At 36.4% G+C, this 19,706-nt stretch overlaps 1 long non-coding RNA gene across 3 annotated transcripts in view; it reads right to left on the reverse strand.

The window, feature by feature from the left end:
* The window catches only part of LOC101927413 (uncharacterized), a 78,895-nt gene that overhangs the window by 32,611 nt on the left and 26,578 nt on the right, over nt 1–19,706 (reverse strand). For 2 of the 3 annotated variants that reach the window (NR_188035.1, NR_188034.1), the window contains exons 2-3: nt 15,913–16,022; nt 13,423–13,467 (exon numbers count right to left, since the gene is read on the reverse strand). This is a non-coding gene — a long non-coding RNA (uncharacterized LOC101927413). Of the gene's footprint in view, nt 1–13,218; nt 13,321–13,422; nt 13,468–15,912; nt 16,023–19,706 lie in introns of those variants that run through there. The other variant, NR_188033.1, reaches the window with a different exon arrangement.

Here is a 19,706-nt window from a genome sequence, read left to right on the forward strand (position 1 = left end):
TACAGATAACTAACATAGATTTAAAAGCAACTATGTCTATTAATTTAAACAGGCTAAATTTTTCAATTAAAAGACAAAGATTAATTGATTGGGTTAAAATTTTTTAAAAATAGATACACCAGAAATAGAAGAACAAGAAGAAAATATATATACCATATTTTAAATTTTTAATTTGTGTTTATTTATATTGCCCTGCATGCACACACAAGGTTTCTAAAACAGAGATCTCTAGAGTTCTCTCACTATCTAGCCAATCATATAACCTTCCAAACTTGTTTCACTTCAGGTCCCAAGTTTGAGTAAGATTTGCTAAGAAAATCTTAACTACCCAGAATCATAAAAGAAAGTTTCTCTGCAACACTAACCAAAAGAAAGGCAGAGGTCGGGCACAGTGGTTCACACCTATAATCCCAGCACTTTGGGAGGCTGAGGCAGGCGGATCACCCGAGGTCAGGAGTTTGAGATCAGCCTGGCCAACATGGTGAAACCCTGTCTCTACTAAAAATACAAAAATTAGCCAGGTGTAGTGGCGCACACCTGTAACCCCAGCTATTCCAGAGGCTGAGACAGGAGAATTACTTGAACCCAGGAGGCAGAGGTTGCAGTGAGCCGAGATTGTGCCACTGCACTCCAGCCTGGGCAACAGAGCGAGACTCTGTTTCAAAAAAAAGCAGATAGCTGTTCTAAAGCATACAAATAGCATACAAAAAAGCACACTAATGGGCTTTCAGAAAAACAGCATGTTACAGTTAAAGAGGAAATTTTCATAAAGAGAAAGGTATCAAATTCACATGGAAAATATAACGATGAGCCAATAACATAAGTTTAAGATATATAATTCAAAAACTATCAGGACAGGTGTACATCATTTCTCAAATCCTATTGGTAAGAATTTAGTCACACACTCCAAAGGAAAATATGGAGAATTGTCTGGATGTTTGGCAAGCAATATTGTCTCTTCCATGCCTGCCTTCTGAAACTTGCTCCAATTCATCCTTTACATTTCCAGAGTAATTGAAATGTAAATATCATTTTATTACTCTAAAAATATTATCTGGTTTCCCCCAGTGGAATACAATCCAGATTCCTTAGTCTGTCATTTAAGGCCTTTCACATCCTGGACCCAAAGCCTTTTCAGTTTCAACTTCTGCTTCCTCCCCTGGTCACCTAGAAAATGACTTGTTCAGATTTTCTTGTTCATAATGTTTGTTTGTTTGTTTGTTTTTAACCTACAATGTCCTCCTTTGCCTTTCTGCATGTTGAAATCTTGTATTTCTTTGCAAAACTGAAATGTTTTCTGCATAGTCTTTCTAATCCCCTTTATCAAGATTAATTGTTCTCACTCCTGGAAACTCACAAGCACTTTGTTTATATTTCAAATGTAGCATTTATTCTAGTCTGACTTGTATAATCATCTCAGCCACCTCTCCATTATGCTACACTGTTCAAAGAAAGCTTTGTGACATATTTCTACCTTTCACTGGAAAAACATCAGCTAAGAAGAATTTATTGCTCAGGACAACTTATTAAGCCAAGAATCACAGAAGTAAGGGAGAGAAACAATCAAGACTCTAGTAGTCTTGGAGGCATAAGCTAGATAAGTAAGGAAGTATAGTTACGGCGAAAGGAGTCTGATAACACCAAAATTATAAACTACTGGGGGAATGTGTAGATTTAGACTCTATCTAAGACACTATTGGTAACCCATTTGACTTCCTGCAGTGTATAGGGAACAGTATACATAAATTCTCCTTGCATTCACAGTCACATAGATTCTATTATTATATCAAGCCCCAAAATAGAAACCAAATCAAATACTGACTGGTATATCATTAATAAGAAAAGAAACTAGGCTTTGAAATGAGATACAGTTGTAAAACTTGTCTCAAGAAGTGGTAATTCTAGAAGAAAAAAAGAGAATGAGTGCTACTCAGGTAAAGTTTCCTCAAGACATCTATCACCATTAAAAATATTTATTAAGTGCCTACTTGTGAGTTATGAACTGATGGCTCTTATACAGGCATTTAATAAAGAAGATGTGCATTTAATTTGGAATCACAGCATTCATTGAATCTTTATAATTAACAAATTATTTCATAGATTTCAGTAGAATTCCAAAGTTATATAATAAAATTTATTATTTGAAAAAAACCGTATTTTGTTGATTTCGCTATGGCAATCCAGTTCCTGAAATTAAACTGTACTAACCCTGTGAAAATAGCAAAATTTAAATGTAATGACATAAAATTCTTCCTTAGAACTTAGTTTGATTGTTTAGGTGAGGGATATTGCAAAATTGGAGTAAGAGAATCCAAAGGAAATGAAAGCTTTTGAAGGTTAAATTGCAAAGGTTTCATCCTCTTAAATTACCTGGAAATATGTGAGCAAGAAAAACACACATTCCTTTCCTTCTGTGACATTCTTTTAGTTAATTAAATCCCCATATGTTGCTCACTTGAAAGTATAGGTGAGGATCTGATATTAAATTGCCCTTTCAGAAGAATAAAAATTCACCCTAACTCTTGGTTTCTCACATTCAGTGGGGCCATGAAGAATTTAATAACGAGTAGAAGTCAAATTGGGATGAGAAAGGATGTTTTGCTATTCAGTAAGTGATTTTTTATCTACTTTGGGCCTTGATAGAATAATAGAATCTGCCTGTGGGATCTCTGTATAATTTTATGCTCTGTACAATTGAGGAAAATAAACACTAAGGATACTATTGTTCTCTTAAATAGAGTCTAAACTACACAGTTCTAATAATTTATAACCTGGAGGTTATCATACTCAAACTTTTTTTATATCAAACTAGATCTACACTAGAATCTATGGGGTCTGGATAAAAGTAGAAAATATCTCTGGAGATATATTTGGAGGATAAAGCACATGGAAGGTAAAATACACATTATTGTGCAGATTCACTTCCAAAACGTGTATAGAAAACATCAATGGTTTAGGCAGATTCCTTGGCAAGGGGCTGCCTGATATTTCCTCCCAGTGAGCTAAGAACATTTAGATTCTTTAGCATAGGTTTTTAAAATGTACAAATATTTTATAGCCAATTTCAAAATTAGGACCCTGATCTCAGTAGAACTCTTAAAAATTAAATTTAAGCTTTATAGCTTAAATGTATATAAAGCTATTCTGCCCATAGCTTTAAATGACAGAAACAATGATTAAAATCAAATAGATGGCCAATTAAGTACTATTTCTATGGAGAATGAAACGCAAAGACTGCTTTTTAGGTAACAGACCACTTAATCAATCAGCCTCTAAGTGTACTATTATGCTTTACAGTTAATGCCAATATTTTATACAAACTGTCAGGGCATTCTATATGCTAGTACTTCAAAATATCTCCAGAAACCAACCACTTCTTACCACCCTCATTGCTCCCAAGACACCGTCACCTCTTACCTGGATTGCTGCAAGAGCCTCCTAACCAGTCTTTCTGCTTCCACTCTTTTCTCTCTTATAGTCTCTTCTCAACACAGGTGTGGGAAGAGCAATTCTAAATATAAGGCAGAACATGTCACTTCTCAAACCCTATAATGACTTCCGTGTCCCAGAATACAAGCCAAAGTCCTTACAATGACTTCCTTTGGGTTCTCTAAACAGAGCCTGTGACAAGGAGTCTTGTAAAAGTGATACGGTGAAGGTGCGATCCCACATGCAACCTGTAAGGGGGAGAGTAAAGCAGGACAAAGAGGGAGAAAGAGTCAAGAAACAAGGTCATCTCAAGTAACGTTGACATTGGCCTGATCCACACAGGAGGGCTCTGGTACATAAATGGATCATAGAGGTATCTCCTCTTGAGGCAAGGAGACCAGACTTTTAGACCCTCCTATCTGTCAACCATTGGCTGAGGGCAAGAGGTGACTCCTCAGGTTATGTGGCTGCTGTCTGCCCAGCACTCACAGCAGTAGGGAAGCAGTGCATGGACCTGGTGAGAAGATATGGGCAGGCCCTGGAGCAGCTACTGCAGTGACCTATACAGCCTTACACAATGTGGCATCCAGTATCTCTCTGACCTCATCGTCTGTCACTCAAACAAAAAGACTTTCAGTATTTCATTCAATAAATGACACAAATAGCAAGCACCGTTCAAGGTTCCAGAGGTTGCAGTAGAATAAGACAGGTAAGGTCCTTAAAGTCATAGAGATTACATTCTAATTAGAGAGACAAAATATCTCAAACAATTTGCAAACATAAAAAGATCTGCAGTGACCCAGTCTAGAAAGAGAATTAAAATAGCACAAGATGTAATAGTTACTGGGTGTTAGAATTAGATATTACAGAAGGGCTTTTTCCTAAAATATTACCTAACCTTAACTTTTAATAAAAAGAGCCAGCCAGGCTAAAAGCACTCCATGAGAAGGAACAGGTAGTATAAAGAATATAAATTAACAATAACAACAGCAATAACAACAAATAGGTCAGTATTTCTAGAAAATAGAGGTAAAGGGGATGATGGTATTAGGTAGGAACAGAAGTATAGATAGCGACTACAAATAATTCCAAGAATTTTGCTATAAAAAGGAGTCAAGAAAAAAGGTTGATTGTTGGAGTATCATTGGAGTGGGGTAGGTTTTTAGTTGTTTGTTTTGCTTTTTCACAGGATGGATGATATTTTAGCAAGTTTGTATGCTGACAAGAGTGAACAGGTAAAGAGGAAGGCATTGGTGGCGTGTGAGAGTAGCGATAATTTCAGGAATGAAGTCTTCAGAAGTCATTTGTGGTGATGTTAACTTTGATAACAACAAGAATTCCATATTCACAGGAGGACAGGTAGAGAGGTCATTAAATTTAGCTATGGAAATACTCACTCATGAGCTGAGAGTTAGGGCAGGAAGTGGTTGTTTGAGGTTTGAGGAGAGAAAAAAGGTGTAAAATGGCTATGTAGATTGTGCGAAAGTGAGCAATTACAGAAATGTCAAAGAAAACAAGAACCTTCCTGTACTGTTGAAAGTGTAAATAATGTAGCTATTTTGGAAAGCACTTGGTAACATTCAATGAAACAAAGCATGTGTGTATATGCTATTTATCTGCTATTAAATTATTTGCAATATATTCCAGAGAATATTTTAAAGAGACACAGAAAGATGTGTGGGCAAAAATTTGCACCCAGCATTATTTCCATAGTAGAAATGTGTCCATCGGTTGAGAGATGGATAGATAAACTGTCAAAAATGCATGCAGGAGTCAAAAGAATGGGTAACTTATGGACATATTACAAGGCTAGATGTCTAATACATCATGTTCAGTCTAAAAAGGCAGAAGCAGAATGAGAAGCATAATAAAGTATCTTCAAATTAAACACACAAAATGATATTGCATATTATTCTTTTGATACAGATGTTTAAACATTGGTATAGCTGGTGGGAAAAAAAGAACGAGGTCTAGATAAAAGATGATGATAAACATTAAAGTAAAATAAAATGAGGGCTGGCATGAATTAATGATAACAGTTTGCAATAACTCTGATTAGTTTATTGTATATTCAAAGTCCCCCAAACACAACAATAAAAAAATAAGCTGGGAGCAATGGCTCACGCCTGTAATCCTGATGCTTTGGGAGGCCGAGGTGGGAGGATGGCTGGAGCCCAGGAAGTTGAGACTAGTGATATAGCCTAGAGAGAGCTTGTCTCTAAAAAAAAAAAAAAAAATTAAAAAAACACAGAATACTAGATATAGAAAATAAAATAGTGCACATATTGTTTACAAAAAACAAATTTATAAGCATCTGCTAGAAATTTCAGAGGAGGGAGATCCTCTAAGTTTTCCAGTGAGCAAGGAAGGATGAGTAGAAATTACAGGACTTCTATAGTACCCATTATTACTCATTTGAGACTTAGGAGAGATCATTGATAACAAATTTATTTAGTGTGTCAAGTTTATTGTCCTATTTTAGTTAACTTAAATGTTGATGAAGACTTTTCTTAAGCTTCATTCTAACTTTTACTCCTGTCCATATTTTTCACCATAAGATTTGATTACCTCAACAGACATATACAATGGGTGTTTGGAGAAAGCTAAACTCCAAGATTTGGGATGTATACTTATATTACTGTTTTTTTCCCCCCAATTAACTTTGCCTGGTCCCTTCTTGTGTTGAGTGCAGGATCTCCCAAGTGTGTTACTGTTAACCTTTTGAGCTGGATAACTCTTTCCTATTGGGGGAATGTCCTGTGTATTTTAGGATTTTAGCAGCATACCTGATCTCTACTCAACAGGTACCAGTATGACAACCAAAACTGTCTTCAGATATTGCCAGATGTCTTCTGAGAGTTTATCAGAAAGCTAAAGTAAAGGTTAAGTAATTCTTAAGAAGTTGATCAGATTTACTGTATATTCTTCCATAAACTGCCTACTCTCTGCAGAGACTCAGTGCATATCGAATCCCATAAAAAACAATGTATAAGAATATTCAAATAACAGAAATGTATGTCATGAGTTTCTGTAGGGACACTTGAAAAAATACTTTAATATTTAGATAGTTAGGTCAAATCAGATGAAATTTTGATATTGAACCAACATGGCAGTTTCATATTGTTCCACCTAATATTTATCAAAAGCTGCTATTGTGTTGTTTATTTCCCCTGTTAGAACTTAGTTTCCCTGAGCATTCATTGCAATATCTTTTACTTCTAATACAGTGTCTAACACAGTGCGTGCACTCTGTAAACATGGATCATAAATGCTAATTAACACATACGAACACAATTATACATTTAACTAGAATAGTTATAGGAATATATAAGACATTATTTAATGGCAGAAAACATCTTTTGCTGTAGTGACTTGAAAAAATTTTGACCTCCTCAAGATGTTCATTACATAATTTTAGTCATCTCATGCATTTCTTCATCTGATAGTTCTAATATGAGCTTCAGAGTGGGACATTTCAAAGTTTGAATTCCAGCAGCATTGTATGCCAGCTGTCTGGCCTGGTCTGTAAATAAATATGACAATACTTACATCAATGGATTATTGTGATGATTAAATGTCACAACATATACAAAACACCCAGCGCAGTGTTAGCTCAGGTCTGGTATTCAATGAATGTTAGGTAATTTTTGTTTTCGTTTTTGTTTTTTTCCCTAGGTACCCATTCCTATTGATTAAAGTTCTTAGGATTTGCCTCTTTTTGGGTTTCTTTTTGTTTCTGACATTTTTCTTCAACTTGGATAATATTTTTCAGCTGAGGATTTATTCAAGCAAAGTAGGAATTCAGGGGCTGTACTATGCCTATTTCATTTCTCAAGCTAAAAATAAATTTCCATTAACTATACATATAGATGTGTATTTACTTGAATTCTGTACTTGGTTGATGAACAGAATTTTATGATTTGCTTATTATTAGAATTTAACCTAATGACCTCCCACTACAGTCATACTTCTTAAGGTATTTAACGTTGAAATGCAGTTTATTTAATCTTTGCGCATAGGAAGAATAATTATATTGTAATTGCACAATTGTTAAAAGATATCAAGTGCATTTATGCATTTTCCATTTAAGTTAAATTATACACTAAGCATAATAGCTTAAAAAATACTTCTTTTTTACTTAAAATGTTTTTCCTTCTAAGAAAGCTTACAAATTAAATCTCACAAAGATAACCTGATATCTTAAAAAGATCACACACGTTGTACGCAGAGCAAATGTCATCGTTCCAGAATTTTATTTTTTAAAGGGAGCATTTAGTTAATACAAATCAATTTGCAAAAGTGTTTCATTCCCTTTTTGGTTCCAAAATGAATTGAATTCTCCCTTATTATTTGATTCTAATTTATTAGCAGTTTCAATATCTGCTCCTACAAAAATGCCACCCTTTTGCAACCAGAAATACTTTCCAAGAATATAGGACAACTAAATCAGTTTAATAATATATTTCATATAGCAAGCAAAAAACCCTTCAAAAGTTGATTTTAAAACATCATAATACAAAAGAATAAAAAAATAGTTAATACCAAGAGTTTAAAAATCACACCAAAACCTACCTTCTTTGCAAAAAGGTCTCCAGATACCGACTCTACTTGCTTTGTCTTGCTCTGCAACTCTAGGAGATAATCCTGGCTTATTAAATGCACTCAACTCTAATAATGCACACTTCGGGGATAGATGTAAAACAAAAGGAAGAGTACATTTCAATATGTTGACACTTCTCTTGTGTACATTTCATTAGCCAAGATGCACTGTGCATGAGCACACACGCACACACACATACGTTCAGCACTCCAACCATTTCCTTTCCCAGCTTAGAAAAATTGAGTGTGCCATTCTTCCCCTTTCTGACCTTTTTCATGTCCATTGAGATGAAAACCTTCCACACTTTCCCTTATTTCCTTATTTATCATGATAATATTGTCTTCAAGTCACTTTGCCCCTTGATCCCCTTAAGAAGGTGTGGCTCTTACTCCATGAAGACTCAGGGATTCCCCTTGCTTTATTCTATTATTGATTTGGCAGTTGTGGGCACATTCTAAATGGCAGATACTGGAGAAGCAAAGATGAACAAACTTAGATGAGCTTCATCTGGCTGTAGTCAAACTAATTATGTGTCTTCATCTGTCATGTTATATATATGCCCTGTCCCATTTACTTCGCACAAAAACAAAGATATTATTTTCTCCATTTCAGAGGGAAGAAAACCATTTCATGGAAGTTCAACAATTTCCCCAAGGGCACACAGCTAGTAAGCAGAAGAGCTGAATTCATAACTCACGTTTCTGACCCCAAAGCCTACAGTCTTTCTTCTCACTGCTGATTTCCCTGACCATCTGACCTATCCCACTGAGCCCTGACAGCACCGTTGTATCTGCTTGTATGACCGGTCATTAGATCTGTGCCCTAGTACACCCCCACTTTATCCCTAGGCTGTGGGGGTTATTGAAGGTCTTGCTTCCACCAGACATAGAATGGAGCAATAATTTCCTCCATGACCAAATCTAGCTACACCTCTTCTCCCATACTTTCTGCTCCCTCCTCCTGAATGAGTTTTACCCATTTGATTTTCTGTAATCCCCTCCCACCCCACCTGCCACACACAATTATGTGTGTATGAAGTGTTCTTCATGCACTTTGCACAAGGTGAGGAAAGTTCAACAGTAATTCATTATATATGTGCTGCAATCTCAACTGTTGATTTTAGAGTCTCAAAATTTTGTTGTATAACCAGGACAAAAATGTTACTATACAAGTTTGGTCTCCAGAGATTTATTAAGGAAGTGGCATTCTTTGTTGTCATTAAGCCTAGTTTTTTTCTTGTGCTTACTAAGAGTTGTGAGTAGAAATCTAGAGCTTCTTTATGAACCCCCCCACCCCCCACATCTAACATCCCAACAGAAACCCAGAATTTACAAACTCACTCCCAAAACTTCCAGTTATCTTTACTATATGAGTAGATTTCTCCAGGTCCCTAGCAACTGCTGTCAATATGAATTGTTTTGCTATAACTTTTGAGTGACTTTGGAAACCTTAGTTTTCAAGGAAGTTTGGTTTGATTTTAATCAGAAGCAACTACCTATAGTGCTTTCTGACAGCCTGCTAAGTGCTTTGGCTGAAGTCCACTTTTTCTTTTTATTTGCTACCTTGATCTTAAGAGGTATGCACTTGGCATGCAAGCAAAGTTGTAGAAAGGAAAATAAAAGGCAGCTCAGCCAAAATGTCTCAGGATATTTTTTTAACTTCCTATTTATGGTTAGACATATATAAAGGCTTATTGTAAAAGTAAATAAAAAAGAAGCTGAAAATACATAAGCATATAGAGAAAAAATGCCCTTATGTCATATTATTGAGGCAAACTACTTCAAAACTTAATATCCTTTCAGCCTGCTACATATTTCAGTGAAAAAGGGAAAAAAATGAACATAAATGGTAAAAGTCATAAAGTATGTTGGCTAGTGGTATGTATCTGCCTTGGCAAGTTAAGGCTGCATTAGAAATTCTTTTCCTAGAAAGAAATATTTAGACAAAAACCAAAAGATTGATTTAATGAAACTAATGGGTACACTAGGAGAATTCCAAGTTTGCCTAGAGCTGGAGAAGCCAGCAGAAGGAAGAGGAAGACATTTATTTGATGCCTAATAATCCTGGACTCCTACTCCTCACAAAATTCTCAAATATTGTAACTCAAGGTGCTAACTTGGATCACTTTGCCCTCCCAAACCCACATACTAGTGACTTTATCTCCATGGCTTCTCTTGTGTAAAATAACTTTCAAGGAAACTTACAAACTAGTGGATGGGAATTTAAAAATTTACAATAAACATACTACAAGACAAAAGTCGGCTAGTACTATGAGAGGGATACAACAAAGTTAATTGCATGTTCAAAGGAGGGAGAGAACGCATTCGGTATTTTTATTGGTGAATAGAGAAAAAGTGTAGGGATGGTTGATGCAGAAGTACCTTTGCTACTGAGGTGGAGAATTGAACAGGAGAAATAATAAAGGAGGAAAAATTTCAAGAAATGTTCAGGATTTTTTTTCTTTCCCTGAAACACAGGTTACAGAGAAGAAACTACTAAAAACAGAGATATAGGAAAAATATTATAAAGCACCTTGAATGCCAAACTAAAAAGACTCTGGTTGCATTTGTTAAAAAATATTAGAATATTTCTGAGGACTGTGTAACAAGACCAGACCATACTTTAGAAAAAAATATATGGCCATGTCCTCAAGGAATGTGAAATATGAATACAAGGAGGCTTGCATTACAGAAGATGACATTCTTACACAAGTTGCACTAGAAAATAGAACACAAAAACCTGAAACTTTAAGACAGGCAAACCAGAAATTTTGACATAAAAGGACTCTAATATAGAGGACTGAGTAAGGAGCAGCTACTTAGGCTTCTAAACGGAAGCTTGCATAGAGATGCTTCCTCTCTTGCAGGTGGGCTGGAACTCCCTGCACTCCTGGTCACCCCACCTCCTGGGTCCTGCCTTTAATCCTTTTGTGTATAAGTCACTGTGGGTTTCTGAGGTTGCATGTGGGTGTGCAGGCAGGGAATGAGTGATTGCAGGTAAGCGTCCCTTGGGCACTGAACATCCCTGTTCAGCAGGGCTCATCACAATGACAATGAAAGCCAACAATAAGAGCCAGTGCAAGATTCTATCAGGCGTCCTCCCAGGCACAGGACCTCTGAGAACCCTCACTCAGCCTGTTAGTGAAAACCTAAAGCTGATGCCCACCTGAGGGAAGCTGCAGTATGTAGTCAGCCTGGCAGTAGCAATCAATGTTTACCTTGAAGAGACCTCCTTGAGTCTACCATCTCCAGCAACCCACAAAGTCGGCCATGCAGGCCCTTTTCTTATGGTGAAACCTCCTTGCCAGGCTCCTCATTGGTAACCTCCACATCTGGCTGCCAGAGATGGGACTTGTCTTCCCTCCAGCATTACATAGCATGTAGGATAACTATCCATAGCTGGGCAGAATGCAAAAGGAAGAAAAAAAGACAGAAAGGAAAAGAAAGGAAAGAAAGGAAAAAGGAAGGAAAGAAGGAGAAAGAAAGAAATAAAGAGGGAGAGAGAGAACAAAATTTAAAACTACCAATATTAGTTCACTTGGATGGTGAAATGTTGGAGAAGAGGAAACAATTTTATCTAAATAGAAAAGATATATCAGTTTTCAACATTTGTATTGTTCTGAGAGCCATTCTCCCATACAAACACATACAATGCACATATAATTGGGGTTTGATCAATATTTAAGTAGATAAATAAACATCTACTGAATAATTCATATTTCCAGCATAAAATAGATGCCACACTCATATAAAAAATTGAAAGAAAGTTTGATAAAAGAACTACCTCTAAAGATGTGAGCAGAGTTAAAACATTAAAAACAACAACAACAACAACAACAACTAATGGCAACATTAAGGAGCTATTGCCACCCCCAGGCTGAAGAAGCAAGAAGCAGTTACTGAAATTTAGAACTTTGTAGTGGATTCCCTGATGGGAGCTGTGACCTAAGGTGGAGGGATATAGCCAAGATGACTCCAAGGAGGAAAGCTCGTGGAATAATTACCCTGATCGCTCTCTCTTCCAAGCCTATTGATCTACCAGTGCCTCTCTCTGGCCAAAACCAACATGAAACCAAATGGCCAGGGAGCCTCAATGATACAATCATTTCAGGCCGAACCCAGCACAAATTCCTAGACCATTTATTTATTTATTTATTATTTATTTATTTATTTATTTTCAAATCTATCTAGAGATTTTTTTTTCTTCTAAGGTATGCTTGCTATCTTGTTATCATCTTTCAAATGGTAAATATACATATATGTATATTATATGTCTCTTATATAATATATACATAATATGTGTCTATTATATAATATATACATAATATGTATATATTACGAATACCTAGGCAGTTTTCCAAGGCCTGGAATGGAACCATAAGCAAAAAAACTAGGTACCCATCCTGAGTGAGCAGACAGTCTAGTGGGAGACAGGAAACATCCCAGAGCTCCACAGATCCCTCTTTGTAAAGAGAAAATCATAGACTTTAGGATCAAACCAAAATATTGTTTGGTGACTAACCTATTTTTATGGAGCCTCCGTTTTATCTGTTAGAAGGGAATGGTGACACCTATTTCTTAGGGTTAGTGTATGATTTAGAGACTATGTATGCAACACATGTAATATCAGTGCCAGCATACAATGACTAATTTTATCTTTAGAGATGACCCAGAGCCCAGGGCAGCCTGTGGATTGTGGCAGGAGATACCGAGGCATTATAGAGACCTCACTAGTGGACTTCTGCTTTCTTTCATCTCCTCTTCTTAGGCAGCTCCTGCCCATATCCTCTTCACTTCAGTGCTCAGCCTACAAAGGACTTGGAAGCACTAAGCAAAACTACCTCTGGCACTTGTAAAAGATGATGGCTCTCTCTTCCCTTCAAAATAGACAATTTCTTCTCCATTTTATATTTAACATGGGAACAGATGGTTGGTGGTGAGTGTAGCTTCATGTTTCCAAGGAACCCAGGAATGGAGGGGAGATCTCTATTCTAAGGTGTTTCCAGGTAGACCCAAGCCATGCAGTCTGTATGGGGAGAATATGAAATATGTCCATTTGGAGTGTAGTCGTGGAGGCAGCTGACTCTTCCTCTGCTGGCTGGACAGGCCTGCACCTTCTCCTGAACTTGTCTGCTATTGGGTTACTTATTAAGTGGATTGCATGCAGAAAGACAGCCCAAGGCATTCTGAGTAATAAGCGAATAATATTTCTTTTATTAGTGGTGCATGACCTTGTTTACGATACTTCGTATTACAAGTCCCAAGAAAGTTTTAGTTGAAGAATCAGTATAACTGCAATAAAAAATGAAAAATTTCAAATTGCAAGGCAGGAAAAGTAAAAAAAAAAAAAACAAACAAAAAAAACCTCGGCAACAACACAACAATATAGGTTACCTTAATGATCCAAATTCCAGGGTGCTTTTCTTTTTTTCAAACACACTGGAGAATAAACAGAAGTTTTATTTTATTGTAGTAATTATAAAATATAAATTTTTCCATACTGATATTTTCAACAAGAAATTTAATGTTTCTTTATTAACTTTAAAATACTTTCTTAGGTGTCGTAACTACTTATAAGAAAACAGGTCTGCAATCCTCTTGGTTTTTATTGGTCTTCCAGTTAAACACTGAGGATTCCTCCCTACTAAATTTAAACTTAGTGGGATTTCTGACAAATAAAATCAAATTTTCAAAAAATTTTCAGTAATGCCAGTTAGGAATTACATACTGGTTAGCAAATACCCAGCAAACTCAATTTTTACACATCTCTTTTGCACTAAAGAATTCCGTGTGAATTATACTTTTGTTCAAAGTTGGTTATATATTTTTACCTCCTATAAACTTCTATGAAAGATATTATAAAGACAAGTACTGACACTTGTTATGAACAGATGACTAAAAAGACCTGTGCTATGTTTGTTGAATACCTGTATGAATATCCCAGTATACATTTTGAAAAAGTACACCAGGAAAATAAAATTGCGGCTTCAATCATTTGACAACATCCTTCATCCATTTGTTAATTCACCATTTATTCATTCAGCACTAATGTTGTTCATTTACATGTGCAAAGAATTATGCTAGAAACAGTGAAAGGAAGAGTTATATGCCATGGGGCCTGCCTTTTAAGAAGCTCATGTTTCTACTAAGGTAACTATGGATAACAAAACTCAATCACAGTTCAAGAGCTATGAAAGAAGTCCCACTGTTTCTATTTTATTTAAAGATTCATATACGTGGTAATGTCACCTGCAACATGAAACCAACTTCAGAGATTAAGAGAATGAGGCACAAAATTATCAAGTTCAAGTGTCTTTGGATATCCATGTTTCCTTTCCAACAATTTCTAAAATTATTTGCATTACATATGCAGAAATTAATTATCAGGAAACTATCAACAAACACAAATACTTTTTTCATTTGTATGTATTGTGCGGTGTGACTTTGCCTGGCTATTGCATTACATTGTCAATATTTTATTTTACTCCGAGGCTATGGGCATGTGGATGACCTATTCTTTTTCATTTCCTCCATATCTACTATTCAATATTGTTTGTACAAATAACACCAAATAACCTTTTCCTTGCAGGAATATGTGAAAACAGATTGCTTCGTTCTCTTATGCTGTAGTGTTAACAGTTAAACAGCAATTCTGTTTCTACCGAGTACAGCAAACATGAAGGTAATTTAGTGAAGGTGTCTCCCTCCTGGCAATTGCATAGGGGACCAAGCCAGGTCTCTGTCCATACTGCAGCCAGATTGAGCTTTGTAAAATGCAAAGTTGATCTTGTTACCTCACTGTTTGATATCTTTCAATGGTACCCAATTACTGTTAGGATAAAAACCAAATTATTTAACACAGCCACATGTCCTCTTTTCAGGATTGAGAGTAGTCAGGAACAATGTGGCCAGCAGGTAAGTAGTAGGTGCACTACATCATCAAGAAAAGATAAATGAAACAGGTTGGAGAGGCCGGGTGCGGTGGGTCACTCCTGTAATCCTAGCACTTTGGGAGGCCGAGGTGGGCGGATCATGAGGTCAGGAGATCGAGACCATCCTGGCTAACAGGGTGAAACCCCATCTCTACTAAAAATACAAAAAATTAGCCAAGCATGGTGGCTTGGCCTGTAGTCCCAGCTACTCAGGAGGCTGAGGCAGGAGAATCGCTTGAACCTAGGAGGTGGAGGTTGCAGTGAGCTGAGATCGTGCCACTGCACTCCAAGTTGGGTGACAGAACAAGACTGTGTCAAGAAAGAAAGAAAAGAAAAGAAAGGAGAGAAAAGAGAAAAAAAAAAAGAAAGAGGGAGGGAGGAAGGAAGGAAGGAAAAGAAAAGAAGCAAGTTGGAGAGATGGAGAACAATACACTAGAGAACACGTTTGAAGTTTAGGAAGGACACGCACAGCACATTTTTCATGAAGGAATGAATAATTATTCTGACAGCGTCCCTGGAACTGAGCAAGGATTGCCAATCACAAATGGCAGAAGTACAGATGGAAAGTCCTACCAGACCTTTGTCTGGGTCAGAGCAAAACAATAGTCAAGTTGCTAAAGTATTCAAGAACCTCTTTCATAGCTTTCCCACATACGCACATTCTTTATAAGAAAGCCGAAGCACTAGTCTTTCATCAAGAACATTTCTGATCAATCTGTTTCTTCATGCTCTGTTCCTGAACGCTCTCTGCATTTATGTTTTCATCTCCTTCACTTTCTTATTTAAGGCAAAAATCAATTCTGGTGAACTCCACATATTTCTTAGGCTATATAGTCACTCTTTCTAAAAAAATGAATTGGTCTATCTATGAATAGCTTTCTGTTACTTCCACATATGAGGTTACCTTTCTTTTCCTTTTCAATGTTAAAACCAGAGTGATACCATTTATTACCTTTTGCGGAGTTTCAGTCTTTCTGTAATATCCACTGTAGCCAGAAGATGTCAGTCATGCAACTCAAACCGACTCTGCTCCTCTCCCGGAGTAGCTCAAAAGCAAATAGCCTAAAATTAAGTATAAGGATGAAGACCTTTGAAATCCTCTAAAATTCCAAACAATAGGTATACAATTCTACGCACTTAAATATTCTTTATGACACTTAATTTTGTCTATCTGGGATTTAAAGAGATGTAGTCAGTAAGCAGTTGCTGTTCACAGGTCTTTTCTAAATAGCTGGAACCAAATCAGTGTTGAGACAAAGGAATCATAGAACTGTGAAGTTGGAAGGGCCTTGAAGTTCCTGTGGCTTAATCTGCTACCCTCCTACGTAAATTTCTTTTATACTGGAACAGAATAGGGATTTCTTAGTACAACCTAATTTCTGTATTCACACATTCACTTATTCATCAAAATTTTATTGAACATGTTCTGTGAGCTCAGCAATGAGATAATTACTAAAGATACAAAAGTAAAAGTGACGAAGTAGACATAATCCTTGCTGGCTGTTATGGATTGAATTATGGACCCTTCCTCTGCAAAGATATTTATTTATTATTTATTTATTTATTTATTTTTTTGAGACGGAGTCTTGCTCTGTCACCCAGGCTGGAGTGCAGTGGCGCGATCTCAGCTCACTGCAAGCTCCGCCTCTCTGCAAAGATACTGAAGTCCTGGTATCTCAGAACGTGAACTTATTTGGAAATACAATCATTGCAGACATAAAGTTATTTAAGATTATACTGGAGTAGGGTGGGCCCTTATACTGGAGTAGGATGGGCTTATACTGGAGTAGGGTGGGTCCTTAATGCAATATGATTGGCATCTTCATAAGAGAAAGATATACAGGGAGAAGATGGCCAGGTGACGACAGAGGCTGAGACTGAGGTGATGCATCTGTAAACCAACATTAGGAGCTATAATTGGAGAGGCAACAAAACCTTCTCCCCTATAGTTTTCAGAGTGGGGTATAGCCTTGCTGACATCTTGATTTCAGACTTCTAGTCTTCAGAATTGAAGGAGTACATTTCCGTTGTTTTAAGCCAACCAGGGAGTGATACTTTGTTATGACAGCTCTAGGAAACTAACACAGCCCCAAAAGGATTGTACAAGACAAAGAGGCAAATCTAATACAGTGTGATAAGTGCTATTATACATATGGGGTATGATGGGAATATATGATAGAAATGTCCATGAGTGTATATCAGAAGAAAGACGTCTGAAGGAAGCAACCAAAAACAAACAAAATGAGATGGCAAAGAAATGCCAAGTAAATTATTGGGAAGCAGTAGGATTATTTCCAAATGGAGAATATCACCTAATTCTCTCATCTACCTACAGCCTTCATTGCCCAGCTCAAACTTTGGTCAACAATCAAAACATTAGTAGAGATGAATCCCAACCCAGATGTTCTGAGACTTTGATTGTATCAAACTTTATTTGTAATAATTTTTTATTCTTTTTACATTACATCACTAAGAGAAAAAAACAAACCTTTTTTTGAAACCTTTAGTGACTAGAGAAACCAATTTGTACTAGAACCCTTACAATTCCGCTAAGCCTTCATGTTAACCCTCTCTTCTTCCTGCCAAACCCTGCCCTATGCTCCTACCCTGTCAGTGCTCTGGGTTTCCTGTATTCTCTTGGCTTTTGCTCTGCATCTGATTTGGCTGAATCTCTGCCAATCAGCCTCCAGTAATTCCTAATTGAACAGGAGTTTTCTAGAACCTCTCATGTGCTCACCAGAGTTTTATTCACCATTGCCCTTTTCTTGCTCCAAGATCACCGTCTTCTCTCTACAACTCTAAGTCTCTCTGGGGCTTCCCATCACACTTGCTACCCCTGCTGTTCTTATGAAACTCCTCAGAATGCTGAGCTGAGGAAAGTACACAGTGTAGGGCTGCCTTGGGCAGGGCTCTCCAGTGCATCTCTCAGAGCCCTTCCCTTCAGCATCTTTCTTAAGCATTGAGGGAGGGAACATGTCCGCTAGCTCTCCCTTGGAGTGGGCCACTCAATTATTTAGGTCACTAACTTTAATGCTTACTATGGTAGACAGTATTGCCCACAGTTGGAGAAATCTTGGTCAAAATGTGATTTGGGTTGGGGAGTTGACTGAAGGTGCTTAAATCTTCTTTTGCAGAACTTCTCATAGCATGAAGTGACCATCAGAGAAATTGGGAAACTGCAAACCAGACCTGGCTTCCTTGGCCCTGTATAAATGCAGCCACACTAAATTATAGACATCCTGCTGCTTCGTCTCAGCTGACCCAGAAATTGAAAGATGCTGATACAGGATTTGTTATAGGACTTAATTCTAATATTGATAAAACAAGAACAATGGCTAAGTGATCAGTAAACTCAAAGTAATATTAGGCATCCATATGAAAAGTAATCATATGAAGACTTTATAGCAACCTAGAAAATATTTTTGCTATAAAACTAAAGGAAAAAAGTAGAATACAACATTGGCATACAGCTAAGATTAAAAAAAGAGAGTGAAATATTTTGATCATACAAATAGTATAAATCATAGCTTTCACTTTTTTAAAATACCATTGAAAATTATGTATAATCCTTTCCTAAAATTCCTTTTATAATCCTAAAATGAAGCATCAAATATTTTCATTTTTTTCTTGTCATTTTTGGCCCATTATGTACTTGCCAAATTCTCTTTTGCTACTTTGCCTTTAGACAAGCTGTTCCATGTCCTTGGAATACATTTTATTATATTCTCTAAGCAGAACATTAATTCATTTAATCATTTGGCATATATATATGCCAAATGGTGTGTGTATATATATATATATATATATATATACATACACACACACACACACACACATATTATATATAGGTATATATATACACATACACATATTATATATAGGTATATATATTTTTATATATAATAGGTATATATATATATACACACCTATTAGAGGTCCTATAACATATAAAAGAATATAGTTATAAAATATTTAGAGGAGGGTTTACTCCTTCAAGGTCCTCTTATCAAGACAAATTTCAAGGGGAATTCCCTTTGTGATGCCTTCTTAGTCCCCTTTGTATTTAATTTGCCATTTCCTTCTCTGTACACACCACTTTAAAAGCATCTATCAAATTACATTGTTAACAAGTGTTTATTGCATTTCTCCTTAGCTAGACTCAGGATATTGAAAAAAAAAACAAACCACATTGTCTTATTTCTTGTTGTAAGCCTTTAGCCTAAAAATGTACCTAGTTTATGACAGATGTAGGTGACAGAAAATGGAGAGACAGAAAAAAGAAGGGCAGAAAGGAGATAAGAAGGACATAAGAGATTAGTCCTAAAAGGAAATAAATGATTTCAACATATGCAGATACAGTCTGACTACAGCACAGGGAAAAGCAGCTTCAGTCATACAAAAAACAATGCTACTAGGCTTGCAAGGGGGTGACATCCATGCCCTTGGATTCATTAACTTGGTGCTTGTTAAACTGAACAGCCAACCCTATTGACCTACATTGTCAACTGTATTTATTTTATGATTCATCTTTAGCCAAAACAATACAAGTAGTGGAGCATCATTATGAGGATTTAATTACCTCTAATGATTAGTAAGAGAGATGTTTTGAAGATAACTTTCGCCTCTTAGAATAATAAATTGCAGATTTTTTTCCTATTAGTTTGTAGCAGGTAGACAAAATGGTGGTTTTTTACTATGATGTAACAACAAACTCTGATTTTAGTAACTATTGATTTAACAGGATTG

The sequence above is a fragment of the Homo sapiens genome, chromosome 8 (genome assembly GCF_000001405.40).
Source record: "Homo sapiens chromosome 8, GRCh38.p14 Primary Assembly".
In the NCBI taxonomy this organism is placed as follows: Eukaryota; Metazoa; Chordata; class Mammalia; order Primates; family Hominidae; genus Homo; species Homo sapiens.